Source organism: Homo sapiens, chromosome 14 (assembly GCF_000001405.40).
Source record: "Homo sapiens chromosome 14, GRCh38.p14 Primary Assembly".
Lineage (NCBI taxonomy): Eukaryota > Metazoa > Chordata > Mammalia > Primates > Hominidae > Homo > Homo sapiens.
Window position 1 is genome coordinate 102,186,358 of NC_000014.9, and position 13,741 is coordinate 102,200,098.

Below are 13,741 nucleotides of genomic sequence, written 5' to 3' on the forward strand. Positions count from 1 at the left end.
ATGAAGTGTGGGCAGTTGAAGGTGTTTGAAAATCACTGTGTGGTATTTTTGTCATTAGACCCACCCAGTTATTTCCCATTATGTTGAAGAAAATTTTGGTTACATAGTTGAGCTTTGTTCAAAAGGTGAATATCAGCTCTGATTGGCCAAGGTCTCTTTTCATCTTCAGTGCCTCCCCCCACAACACCCCCCTCCGGTTTCACCAGGGTGACAAGCAGATGTGGTCCAGCCCCAGGCCCTGGACTGTGGACTAATCAATCCCTAACAGGCACTAGCAGCCCCAAGCCTGACTAGGTTAAAAGTTCCACCAAGGGCCGGGCGCAGTGGCTCACATCTGTAATCCCAGCACTTTGGGAGGCCGAGGCAGGCGGATCACGAGGTCAGGAGATGGAGACCACCCTGGCTAACATGGTGAAATCCCGTCTCTATTAAAAATAAAAAAAATTAGCCGGGGTGGTGGGGGGCGCCTGTAGTCCCAGCTACTCGGGAGGCTGAGGCAGGAGAATGGCGTGAACCCAGGAGGTGGATCTTGCAGTGAGCCGAGATCGTGCCACTGCACTCCAGCCTGGGGGACAGAACGAGACTCTGTCTCAGGAAAAAAAAAAAAGTTCCACCAAGAAAACCTGCGGAACAGTCTTTGCAGTGTGGTTTATTTTGGATCTCAGGTTTTAAGATAGGCCCCTAGTCGTTCCACTTCTTTTCTAGTAGGTGATCCTTTGTGGCCCTTGGAAGTAATTTCTTGGCCACTTTTGGTCCCTGTTTTGGTTGTCTGAGATGTGGTCAAGAGGAATGATAATAGCACTACAGTCGTTCTCTTCTGATTTTCAAAATGGCTTATGGCAACCTTTGATGTTACTCAGACTGCTCCAGCTAGTTTTGATTAATTCATTCAGGCTGTCAGTGACTCAGCAGCCTCCTGGCTTCTTTCTTGTTTTTAAAAGGAGCTGGACTTTCACAATATATGGAACATAGTTAACATATTGCAGCTAATAAGTGTGGCACATAATGATAGGCATCGGTGAAGGGGTCTGGAAGAATGTCACACATAGGCTGGGGGGGGGCTCAGGAGGACATGACATCTCTGCTTTTGTGAATATGAGGATAGGGGACTTTTTTTGGGTGAAAGAAGGAATGGCAGGAAAGGCAAGGTGTCAGAAGCACAGGCAGCAGCCAAGGGTCTTTGGGGTAATGTATGTGGAGGGGCGGGGGTGATAAGGCCACATTGGGCAGCCTGTGAGTGCTAAGCTGTAGGCCCTGCAGAGCCGTGGCAGTGGTGGAGTGGGAGAGTGACCTAAGGCTTCCCGAAGATGTGTCTGGCAGAGTGTAGGGCGAATTGCATGTGATTGGAAATGGGTGGAAGGAGACTGGCACAGAGCTAGAGAGGCTGAGCTAAGCTGGGGAAACCCAGGCTGGATGAGGGCCCTGAAGCTGTCCTTTGGGCAGGGGTGCCAGGCAGGGGACCCAACAGAGCGCCAAGTATAAAGCTGGTTGGGGTGGGGCTTAAGGATGGGAGGAGTGGACTTAGGAGGTAGAGAGTGCTTTGGGTGTAGGCCAGGTAAGTTTCTGGTCTGCCTGCATTAGGCACTTGGTAGCTGTTAGCTATGCCAGTAAAAGGATCTTTTACTTTTCTGGCAAGACTCTGCAAGACCGGTTCTCTCTTAGGTGATTCTCAGGTGGGGATGGGGAGGGAAGATGTGAAATTTAGGGAAAATAAAACTACCTTTATTACCTACACTATTTCCACCTGATTCATTTAAAATTATGTCTAAGATTATAATTTGACACACATTTTTCAAAAGAGCTCTGAGATATTTTTCATACCACATCAGATGCTTCTGGGCACTGAGGAGTTTTATCAAGTAAAACTTTACCAGGCCTATGTGATGTGACATGGCTGTTGCCTGTGATGCCACAGGCTTCCCAAAGCCCCCTACTGAGGCCCACTAAGTTGGTGGGAACCAGGCTGCAAGCTTTTTGCCTTTGGTGGAATAGCCCCTCTCGGGTTCAAGTCCTTCCTCCACATTTCTGTCCACTCAGCAGCATTCCTGAGGGAAGAGTGGGCAGGCAGGGCTATGGTGAAGGCATGAACTGGAACTGGAGGGCTTCTTTTGCAGACCCTTTGTGGTACTGGAAAGAAATTCCTCAAGGACCTATAGGCTCATTAGTGCCATGCTAAACTGACCCAGCTGACTCTGAATTTCAGTAGTATTGTTCCAGAAAAAAATTCCAGCCAGGCATGGTGACTTACATCTGTAATCCCAGCACTTTGGGAGGCTGAGATGTGAGGGTTCTTGGAGCCTAGGAGTTTGATACCAGCCTGGGCAACATGGCAAGACACTGTCTCTACAGAAAATTAAAAAAAAAAAATTAGTTGGGCATGGTGGCACGCATCTGTGTCCCAGCTACTTGAGAGGCTGAGGCAGGAGAATCAGTTGAGCCCAGGAAGTTGAGGCTGTAGTGAGCTGTATTTGCATCACTGTACTCCAGTCTGGGCAGCAGAGCGAGACCCTGTTTCAAAAAAAAAAAAAAAAAAAAAAATTCCAGAGATCTTAAGGATGAAAAGTCTAAGGAAGGCCAGGTATGATGGCTCATGCCTGTAATCCCACCACTTTGGGAGGCCAAGGCAGGCAGATCACTTGATGTCAGTTCGAGACCAGCCTGGTCAACATGGTTGAAACCCCGTCTCTACAAAAAATACAAAAATTAGCTGGGCGTGGTGGCACGTACCTGTAATCCCAGCTACTCGGGGGGCTGAGGCAGGAGAATCACTTGAACCCGGGAGGCAGAGGTCGCAGTGAGCCCAGATCGCACCACTGCACTCCAGCCTGGGTAATAGAGCGAGACCCTGTCTCAATAATAATAATAGTAATGAAGAAAAAGAAAAAGTCCAAGGAAAAGAGAAGTATTACATTTAAAAATGTTTACTTACTGATCGAGGCTTTGGTAACTAGTTGTTTCTTTAGTAGGAATTTTAAAACTATCACTTAAAATTTTTCTATTAAGTTGAGAACTTAATAAGTATGATGAGACTGTCAAATTATTTGTAATCAGTAACTCCTTATGCAAACTCATGAGCATAATGATAAAATTTAAACTTTCCATAGAAAAAATTAAGAAACAGTTGTGGTTTAATGTATTCTACAAATACTTAGCCTCTGTGCCAGGCTGGATACCTCTGCTGGGGCTGAAGACCAAATACCCGATTCTTAAAATGGATAAGAATGTTTAATAAATTGGTTCTTCTATAAATTCATGTTTATCTGTCAGAATCTGAGTGGAAAAAAACTTACGGTGAAGAACTTAGGTAATTGATAATAATTGGGATGCAAACCATTTTTTGAAATCTCAGTGTGTAGAATCTATCAGAAAGCTGAAAAAAACTAATTTTGTGGAACTATACAGTGGTAACTGTTTAATAAAGTTCTCCTTAAAAGAGTTTTTATTATAATTTTATTTTAATTGATTATAACAGACATAAAACAATTCTGAAATCATATAAGTGATTAAATATTAAATGTTGTGGAATGAATTAAGTACTTGAGAATTCAGATACAGGAGCAGCACAAAGAATGGTTGGGAAAATCCTTGCTGTGGGCGGTGGGACGTGAACTGACGGGCACGATTCCTGGGGAGGTGGGCAAAGGAGACTGTCCCTACCAAGAGGGTGACGTAAGCCAAGAAAGAGGGGCTGTCTGCTCTGGCCATTGCTTATGAGTTGTGTGGAGGGCCAGTGAAGGGTGGAGAGGCAAGATGGTGTAGAGCTGATAAGAGCACAGCCTCATGACCCTGAACTTCCTTCCAGGTCCCTCATCAATGTAATGTGGATACATTAGTACCAGCTTTGAGGGGTGACTAGGATTGGATTGGATGATGATTGTAAAGTTCCTGGTGCAGGCCTGGCACATAGGAAGTGTTGATTAGGCCAGGCGCAGTGGCTCACGCCTGTAATCCCAGCACTTTGGGAGGCCAAGGCAGGTGGATCACCTGAGGTCAGGAGTTTGAGACCAGCCTGGCCAACATGGTGAAACCCTGTCTCTACTAAAAATACCAAAAACAAACAAACAAACAAAAACAAAAAACAAAAAATTAGCCAGGTGTGGTGGCAGGCGCCTTTAATCCCAGCTACTCAGGAGGCCACGGCAAGAGAAACACTTGAACCCGGGAGGCAGAGGTTACAGTGAGCCAAGATCACACCATTGCACTCCAGCCTGGGCAACAAGAGGGAAATTCTGTCTCAAAAAAAAAAGTGTTGACTAGACAGAAGGTGATATTGCTGTTGGGGAGGATGGGGCTGAACCCTGGAGGGCAGGGGTGCTAGGTACTTTTTCCTACATTGACTTGATAGAAATTAGGAGGCCACAGGCCAGGTGTGGTGGCTCACGCCTGTAATCCCAGCACTTTGGGAGGCTGAGGCGGGCAGATCACTTGAGGTCAGGAGTTCGAGACCAGCATGGCCAACATGGTAAAACCCTGTCTCTACTGAAAATACAAAAATTAGCCGGGCATGTTGGTGCATGCCTGTAATCCCAGCTGCTGAGGAGGCTGAGGCACAAGAATTGCTTGAACCTGGAAAGTGGAGGTTACAGTGAGCTGAAGTCATGCCAGTGCACTGTAGCCTTGGCAACAGAGCGAGACTCTATCTCAAAAAAAAAAAAAAAGAAAAAAATTAGGAGACATTTTGATTAGAGATAAGATGTGGCTGGAATTAATGAATAATGGTAGCTACCCAAATACTTCTGTGTGCTCTGTGCTTTCTGTTATCTGCAGCCTTCACCATTGCCTTGCAGGGGAGGGGTGGGCCTTTGATCTCCTATTAGTGAGAGGAAACTTGCACTTTGCCCAAGGCCACTTGGCTACCAAGAGGGAAGGCAGGATTTGAACTTAGGCTTGCCTGGTCTGGGCTCTTTCTCTCGCTACCAGACTGCCCCTGCCTGGGAAGCCATCTGCCAGGGGCTGATGACCCCATGGGGAAGAGGAATAGCTGGCTTGGGTGGTTACTCCTGCTCCTAAAAAGGTATGTGAGCTCAGAGTGCATGTTGGCAGACACCCCATCCCCCGCCCCCCAGAAGAGGAGGAAATAGGATGGTCACTTATCAGTGGAAATTGAGTTAGAACTCAGTGATTAATGGAAAGAGGACAGGCGAGTGGGAGACGGTTGTGCTTGGACATGAAGGCAGGCACTGGGTGACCTGGCCTTTCTCTATCTGGGGTGGGGCTCCAAAAAGCTCTGGCCCAAGAGTGGAGTCCATAGATTTTTCAGAAATACAATTTTTTTTATGGGCACATAACCTAGCAGTCACTTCTGACTTCTTGGTAATTCTTACTTGGTAAAGGTGACATGTTGCCTGGCTGGACTTCTGCTGTTCCCGTTTGGTCAGTGCCACTGGAAAGGGATTGGGGAGGGAGGAGTGACCTTAGGTGAGAGAGATTCTAAGTGTTCCTTGGGGTCAGCCAGGTCTACTTTTGTGTCTTCTAGACAGTGCCACTCACACTAGTGTTGACAGATCAACTTTAAAAAAATTTTAGTCTATGTGGATTGATACTTTTGTAAAATAAAAAGAATTAATAGGAAAAGAAACTGAAAAAGACATACAGAATATAAACTCTAACTTTTTATCATTACATTCAACAGATATAAAATTTGTCCGTTGCCATAAAAGTTTCTAAACTCTTATTCTCAATGTCTGTACTACAGGCAGTGCATTTGACTGCAGACTAATAAACTAGTCCTGGACTGGTACACTTCAAGAGCAGTGACCTAAGAAGAAAGTTTGTTAAGCAAATTAGTAGAATAAACAGGATATTTTTAGAATATTTACCTGAATTTTTTTTTTTTTTTTGAGACAGAGTCTCGCTCTGTCACCCATACTGGAGTGCAGTGGCACGATCTCGGCTCACTGCAAGCTCCGCCTCCCAGGTTCAAGCGATTCTCCTGTCTCAGCCTCCCGAGTAGCTGGGACTACAGGTGCCCACCACCACGCCCGGCTAATTTTTGTGTTTTAGTAGAGATGGGGTTTCATCATATTGGTCAGGCTGGTCTCAAACTCCTGACCTCAGGTGATCCACCCGCCTCAGCCTCCCAAAGTGCTGGGATTACAGGCGTGAGCCACCGTGCCTTCTGGCCCATTTTACCTGATTTAAGAGTAAAAATAATCTCTTCTCATTTAAAATGCTTCCATCTTTTCAGTAAAGTTCCATATTGGGAGGCAGGGATGTAAAAATATACCAATAACTGAAGCCATTATAGTTGTGAGGGGTCCCTAAGTCTAACTCTAAACTGGTGGCAGTACTTGGAAAAACAGGTGCTTTTACTTCCTCTGTTGTTTCTGAGAAACATTACGTATTTTTTAATTTATATTAGGCTATTTTCTCTGTTAATTTCTGGCCAGCCTTTAAATTGATCTGTGTATTTCAGCGCATAATTTTAGGTATATTCTTTCAGGGGAAAGTTCCCTAAGTGGTTGTTGCTGTCATTTGTCTTGCTATGTCATCTAGCCTGAAGTGCAGTGGTGCAATCCTAGTTAACTGTCACCTTGAATTCCTGGGCTCAAGCAGTCTTCCCACCTCAGCCTCCTGAATAACTGGGACTACAGGCATGCACCACCACACCTAGCTGATTTTTTATTTTTCTTAAGCAAACTAAAAAAAAAAAAAGTCTCAAGAGTTGAATATGCTGATACAGTAATTATGTATAACTTAATTGTTCGTATTTCAAATTGGATTTTTGTTCTCTAGCTGCCAGTTATATCTTATTTTATATTTGTAGGTTTTTTTTTTGTTTTTTTTTTTGTGGCTGTCTTCCTCGTTCTGAGATGAATGGCATGTGGTGTTCTCTCAGGCCAGGATTCTCTTTCCCTGCCATCCGAGCCGCTCAGAAGCTGCCTTCCTCAGACAGCCTGTCCGTGGCCATCGTCCCAGGCCCCGCTGCTCACTCGCAGCACTCGGCTGAGCTGCCTTCAGCCTGCCTTGCTGTACAGCGGCCGCTCCCCTCCACTGGCCGCTTTTCTCCTCGCTCCAGTCAGGACTCCCTTTTGTTTTGTATCATGCTTTGTATTACACTTTTCAAGGCTCTTTCATGTATATATTCTCTTATTTCATCCTCCAGACAATCCCATGAGGTTGGTAGAACAGAGATTCTCATCTCCGTTTTAACTGAGGTGAGGCTGGGAGAGTGTCCGCATGGCATGCACCCTCATTCCTTTGCCCTGGGGCTCCCAGAACTACTTGTTACCGCTCAGGTCCAGACTTCTACATGTGCAAGGTTTTGAGTTTGCTCAAAGACGCCTGTAATTTTGAGGTCCTCTTTTCTACTCATTACTTATATTTGTTATTGGAAAGTCCAACATTAGAATACTTGGTTCGATGTCACAGGCCTCTTTGGAAGAAAGAAATCTTCAGAACCTGAGGGGGCGGTCAGTAGAGAACTAGAGCCGGGAGCCCCAGAGGGCCACACAGCGTGAACTGGGTGTCTTGAGGGACAAGTTCTGCTTCAGGGTTAGTTGTCTCCACTGGAGATTTTCAGACAAGAGTGGGAGGGGGTGGGTTTCCCTTATTTCACCAATAAAAGCCCAGCATATTGGGATGCCACAGGACATTTCTCATGAAGAAAAGAATCCTTCTTGAAAGTGGGGAGGGCACATTGAAAAATCACTTTTCACCCAAGTGAGAAATCATTTGCTTTTGACTCTCTCTCCCCATCCCCTTAATGGTCAAACAGACCTGGGTTCCAAATCCAGCCCTGCCACTTACTTAGGTAGGTATGGTGACGTTGGTCAAGTTATTTAACTTCCCTAAACTTGTTTTCTCATCTGTAAAATGGGTAAAATATTGTCCACTTTGGAGCATTATTGTTAGGATTAAGGACAATGCATGTAAAGTCCTTTGATTATGGCCTCGATAAGTAATGTTCCCCGAAACCTAATCCAGAAGAGGGATTTTGACCCAGGAAGGGAGCCACCTGTATAGAGTGGGCTCCAGCAGTGGTTCTTAGACTTGAGCGGGCATCAGAATCACCTGGAAGCCTCTTTACGACTTGCTGGCCCTACTCCCATAGTTTCTGATTCATTTAGTCTGGGGTGAGGTTTGAGATTTTTGCATTTCTAAGTTCCCACATGCTGCTGCTGCTGCTTCTGGTTTGGGGATTACACTTTGAGAACCACTGGGCTGCAGGTAACTGGCCAGTGGGCATGTAGGTGCTGTAGATACATTTGAAAGCCGAGCTTTTTATGTGGTTACTCTGTTAGACACTGCTTGAAATGCATTTTGAAAATACTGAATTTAATATCTCAAGGATATTTCCTGCTGAAGTCCAGGAGTCTTTGTTACATATATTTGAAGGAGAATAAGTTGTGAAAGTAACAGTTGTAAACATATTATAGATAGTCTAATAATATCTAATTGGCTAAGGTATGTGAAAGTGCTTTTATAAAATGTTAGATGATGTTAAGTCACAACTGAAAAAACATTTTAAATCACTTTGTTTTTAAGATGAAACATCATAATGGAGTATAAAGTAGCATAACTTAGATTTCTCATCTCAATGTGCTGTTTACTGTATGTATTTTTCTCTTTCTCCTCCAGGCTGCTGACTTGAGTAAACCAATAGATAAAAGGATATACAAAGGAACACAGCCTACTTGTCATGACTTCAACCACCTAACAGCCACAGCAGAAAGTGTCTCTCTCCTAGTGGGCTTTTCCGCAGGCCAAGTCCAGCTTATAGACCCAATCAAAAAAGAAACTAGCAAACTTTTTAATGAGGAAGTAAGTAGCACCCTGTCTTAGCTGTTAAGAATCCCTTTAAGAGTTGATACATTCTTACCGAGGGTAGTCGGCCTTATTTTGCACTTCAAGCTAAGCCCATTTTTTATTCGCCCAGCCCTCCTACCTAGTATGCCCAAGTTTAAATGTGGTGGATTAATTTGTTGACCTTACCTGTTCTTCCTTGGGGTGACTGTTTTGTGCATTTTTATGGAGCATGCTCAGGTGTCTATAACAGGTGTTTTAAAACTCTTCTATAATGGAGATAGGGACAGTACTGTAACTCGGTATTTATAATTTAAGTAAGAAAATGTGGAATTCCAAAGTTGGTTCACATCACCAGAACATTTCATGCAGATCAAAGAACTTGATGACATTTCCTTAGGCTGCTTAAATTGTAGCCAAAGCTTTTGTATGTATGTTTGACAGTCATTTGGCTAAGGAGTACTTCACTTGCTCTTGAAAATAGTTACTGTAAACTCATCTTTGACATAGTTGGAAATCCTGGCGCTTAAAGTTTGGTCACATGACATAGCTTTTGCCAGTGTTGTAGTATGTACTGGGGTTTCTAGTATCTTCAATTTCATTCTGGAAAGAGCCTGAGATATCTGAGCTGTCTGTTCAGGAACATGTCAGGACTGTTAAATGTGGCATATAGAAATTGCCAAGTAGATTATATTTTTTAAAGCTGTTGGAGCATCTTTCAGCCTCAAGTATTGCTATTTCATATTTAATATTCTTCCTCGTCTGTTTCAGTATGACTTTTCTACCAAGTGGAAAAGATAAGGTAGGCTTGCTGAGTTAGAAGCCCTGGGTTCCAATCTCTACTTGGGACCTTGCCCCTGAGGCGCAAGGGTCAGGCTATGTGGGACCCCCTCCCTTTTGCATTGTTGCATGGTTTTAACATCATTAACTTGGAACAAAAACACATTATAGAGTATGGTTTTTAAGAAATAATTTTGTTTGGGGAAGAAAATTCAAATTGACAAATGGCAGTTAAAATTTGGATTCTTTTGCAGTTATGGTACTTGCTATTCATGCAAATCAGTATCCACCCAGGGTGCTCCTGTTTGACATTGCCAGTGGATTTGATAAGATCTTATGAACCATGCCATCTCTTCTAGTTTCCTCTGAGTTGACTGGAAACAAAACTTGCCATCTGGACTGACAGATTGTAGAGGAAAAGTATTTAATCCCATTTTCCATTAAAAAAAAGTTAAGCAGAAAATATTTTATTTACCTAGATGTTTTTTTAGTATCATCTGCAGAAGTGATTTCTAAGTAGCTGGATGATTATTTTTTTGGTGCTGAGTTTGGGGAGCAGCGCACAAAATTGGCCTCCTCTGCACTGTTAGCAGAAATTGTGAATTTGGAATCATTGTGGGTTTTTATTGTTTAGGTAGGGGAGAGTGTGATTGGAGGGGGCAGGGATTGGAGCCATGTAAGGGCTGTTAGTAAACAAGACCCGGAGGCAGCCCTGGCCGAGGATGGTACAGAATGCCGCTTAGAGAACAAGAAAGTTTTGTGTGTCGTGGCAGGGGGAGGGCAGGGAGTTGGAGACCACACGTCCCCAGAATCTCAGGGCTCTGGGAGCACTCAGGCTGCATTGGCCAGAACTATCCCTGCCCTGGTGACTGGGAGTTGCAGGCTGGAAGGCAGCTCCTCATTCTTCATGATTTAAGCATGAGTTATCTCATACTCACTTTACATTTTATTTGAGAAATTGCTATTTAGAATGCTAAGACTGTGTGTGGTTTAATGCCAGCTTTGCATTTACAGCTTGAGGCTGAAATCGATTGCCCTTCATAGTAAGGAGATCCTCTGGCCATGTGGATACATTTTTATCAGATTTTGGTCAGAATGTCTAAGAGCAAGGGTCACCGGAGGTTTGTTCCTTAGAGAGTGCCAGGAATGGTGGTGAAGTAGTCATCGTGTCGTGCTTTGCTGTGGTGTGACATTTACAGGTTTCAAGGCACTTTTACCTATGGCCTCTACAGGGAGGGTGGGGAGTTGTTCCCATTTTACAGATGAGGAAATAGTCAAAGAGCACATAAGTGAATTGTCCAGATCAGGTAGCAAGTTGATGATAGAGTTGGAACCAGAAATTAATTCCAGAAACTCATTGGTTACAGGACCCACCATGCATGGTTGCCAGATGAGCTCTTGCCCTTCCGGGAGCTCACAGTTTAGTAAGAATGGACAGAGAGTACTGGGCACGTGTCAGCACAGCGATATGAACAAAATACCAAGGGCTAGCTGCCGCAGGAATTCTTTAGTATGCATTTTAAAGTTTTTTAAAATGTTAAGTTCACTGGGGGAGTTCCAAGAAATGCTTTTAGAAAGTGATGTTTGATGTGGGTCTTAAAGGGTACATAGTCATTAGAGGAGGGTAAGGAAGGCCTTCAAAGCTGGAGGAACAACTAGGCATGTGAAAGAACATCCAGTAACAGCTTGGCCACATCACAGTGTGGGACTTGGAGTGTCAGAGTTCGAAGCTGGAAAGATAAATTGGAACCAGCTTGTCTTATAAAAGCCTTTTCATGTCACGTGAAGCAATTTGGAACTGACACTGGAAGATGTGGGGGAACCTTTGGCCTTTTAATGAAGGGAGTGACAGGATCAAATGTGTTTTTTTAGAACTCTTGTCAGCACTTGTGGAAGGTGGATTGGAATGAAGAAAGACAGAATGAAGGTAGCAAGACCAGTGAGGAGGCTCTAGTAACTGTCCAGGTGAGAGCTGAGGGCTTGAACTAGAGTTGCGGCCATTGTTTCATTCATTCAGGACCTTGACTACCTACCACATGCCCAGCACTGGGTCTGCAGCAGTGGGCAAAACCTGCCCTCCTGTGACCCCTCTCAGGAGGGAAGAGAGGTATAATAGCACCACCCCCGAAACACTGGTGACCACAGATGGTGACACTTTGTGATGTAAGAGGCAAGAGAGCAGGCCCAAGAAAGGGAGAGAATCACAGAGGTCTACTTTATTTATTTATTTATTTATTTATTTATTTATTTATTTATTTATTTATGAGACAGAGTCTTACTCTGTCACCCAGGCTGGAGTGCAGTGGCGCAATCTTGGCTCACTGCAACCTTCACCTCCCAGGTTCAAGCTATTCTTGTGCCTCACCCACCCAAGTACCTGGGATTATAGGCCACCTGACTAATTTTTGTATTTTTAGTAGAGACGGGATTTCACCATGTTGGCCAGGCTAGTCTGGAACTCCTGGCTTCAAGTGATCCACCCACCTCAGCTTCCCAAAGTGCTGGAATTACAGGCGTGAGCCACCACGCCTGGCCAACACAGAGGTCTACTTTAAACTGGGAGGCAGAGGACATCTCTCGGACGAAGTGCTATGTTTTAAGCTGTGCCTCATGTGAGAAGAAGGCCAACCAGGTAAGGAACTGGAGATGGAGCTTTCCTGCAAAAGGAATAGCACATGAGGGCCCTTGAGCCCAAGGAAACTGAAAGAAGGACGGTTTACCTGGGGAAGGTGGCATGAAGTAAGGGCATGAGATTGGAGGGCCACATCACCTACGGCCTGATCCAGATTTGTTTCTTAGCCTGAAGTACGGGATTCCTTAGAAGGGAGCAGGTGCACAAGGCAGGCAGATTGGTGTTTTTGAAAGGTACCCTGGCTGCTTTTTGGAGACTGAATTGGAAAGGTGTATTAATAAATCAGGTTTCTGGGTGTCTCTTGCTGTGTTGGGTGAGACTGGGAAAGGAGCAGTTGTCAGGGAATGGAGGGGAAGATCAGAGGTTCTGGTCTGTACTTGCTAAGTTCGAGAGACCTGTAGATAGTGGGATGTATGGATCTGGAGCACAAAACTAGGGGTTACAATTTGGCAGTTGTCAGCATAGAAATAATAATCACATCCTTGAGATTAGATGAAAGGTTCTTTGGAGAGATGATGGTGAGAACAAAGAAGGCCTGGGTCTGAGGCCTGATTATACTCCAAGATTCTGGCCATCTCAGCTACTGCTTTCAAAGGGGCACTTAACACACAGTTAATTACCACGACATTTACAACTTCACAGCCCAGAATGCTGAGGGCTCGGACACCAGCTCTGCCACTTTCTGCTTGCAGGATGATGTGGGTCTTACCTCTCCTCGGTTGGAAAATGGGTGGGAACAGCACCCACCTGAGAGGTTTGTGATGAGGCTCAGATGAGTGAGTTCAGGCAGGGTGTTTGTGAAGGGCCTGAAGAGCGAGCCTTGGTGGATGCTCAGCAACGTGGAGGTTGAGAGAAACTCAGGCTTCCTTTCCTGGGAGGGGTGGTGTTGGACGGAAAGGGTTCCGTGGGAGGTGAGATACCAACCGTTTTGAAATACAAATAATTAATTTTTTAGGACAAGCAGGTAGGAGCATGGCAACCCAGGCAGAGAGTCAACATGTGTGAGGCTGAGGGTTGGCCCGCTGGTCACAATTACAGCAATGTGGCCTTTCAGTGTTCCTCACCAGAACACCTCTCAGACCCACCTGTTACCACACGTGCACACACCTTCACACACCGAATCCCCAGCATCAGTTACTCTGGCCTTTGCCTCCTTTCTGGTGCCTGGTACATGAAAATGTAATAAATGTTGGGATGGAAAGATGAGTGAAATGGAATTATAAATTTCAGAAATCCACCTGAGATAAACATAGATGAAAAATTCCCATCTGGGAACAAGTATATTTTAAAAGATGATTTTCCCCCTGTCAATTAAAAATTGTGTGCATTTAAAATGCTTGTTGATAGAAAAATTGGAAAATAGAGAGGTACAAAGAAGGTAGGAAAGCATCACCTCTAAACCGTGACGCTCACTGTTGACTTTCACAGTCTGTGATTGTTTTCAATGAGGGGACACCATAGGGCTCACACCTTCCATTGGGGGTGAAGGCAAACTTCACCAAACTTCATCTCCAAGTCTGGCCCTGATCAGGTCAGCCCAGTGAGCATGGGCAGGCCCTGCCCTCTTCCCGCTCCCTGGGACTG

At 44.7% G+C, this 13,741-nt stretch overlaps 1 protein-coding gene across 69 annotated transcripts in view; it reads left to right on the plus strand.

The window, feature by feature from the left end:
- WDR20 (WD repeat domain 20) overlaps window positions 1–13,741 on the plus strand; it is an 85,417-nt gene that overhangs the window by 46,935 nt on the left and 24,741 nt on the right. For 25 of the 69 annotated variants that reach the window (NR_148510.2, NM_001353662.2, XM_024449742.2 and 22 more), the window contains one exon: window positions 8,581–8,763. The exons of 9 other annotated variants lie outside the window; for them this stretch is intronic. Coding sequence is in view for 38 of the 60 variants with exons in the window: in XM_017021767.2 (XP_016877256.1) it covers window positions 8,581–8,763 (183 nt within the window). In the remaining 22 variants the exon portion in view is untranslated. 35 more of the 69 variants (XM_024449743.2, NM_001353670.2, XM_011537339.3 and 32 more) reach the window with 7 other exon arrangements.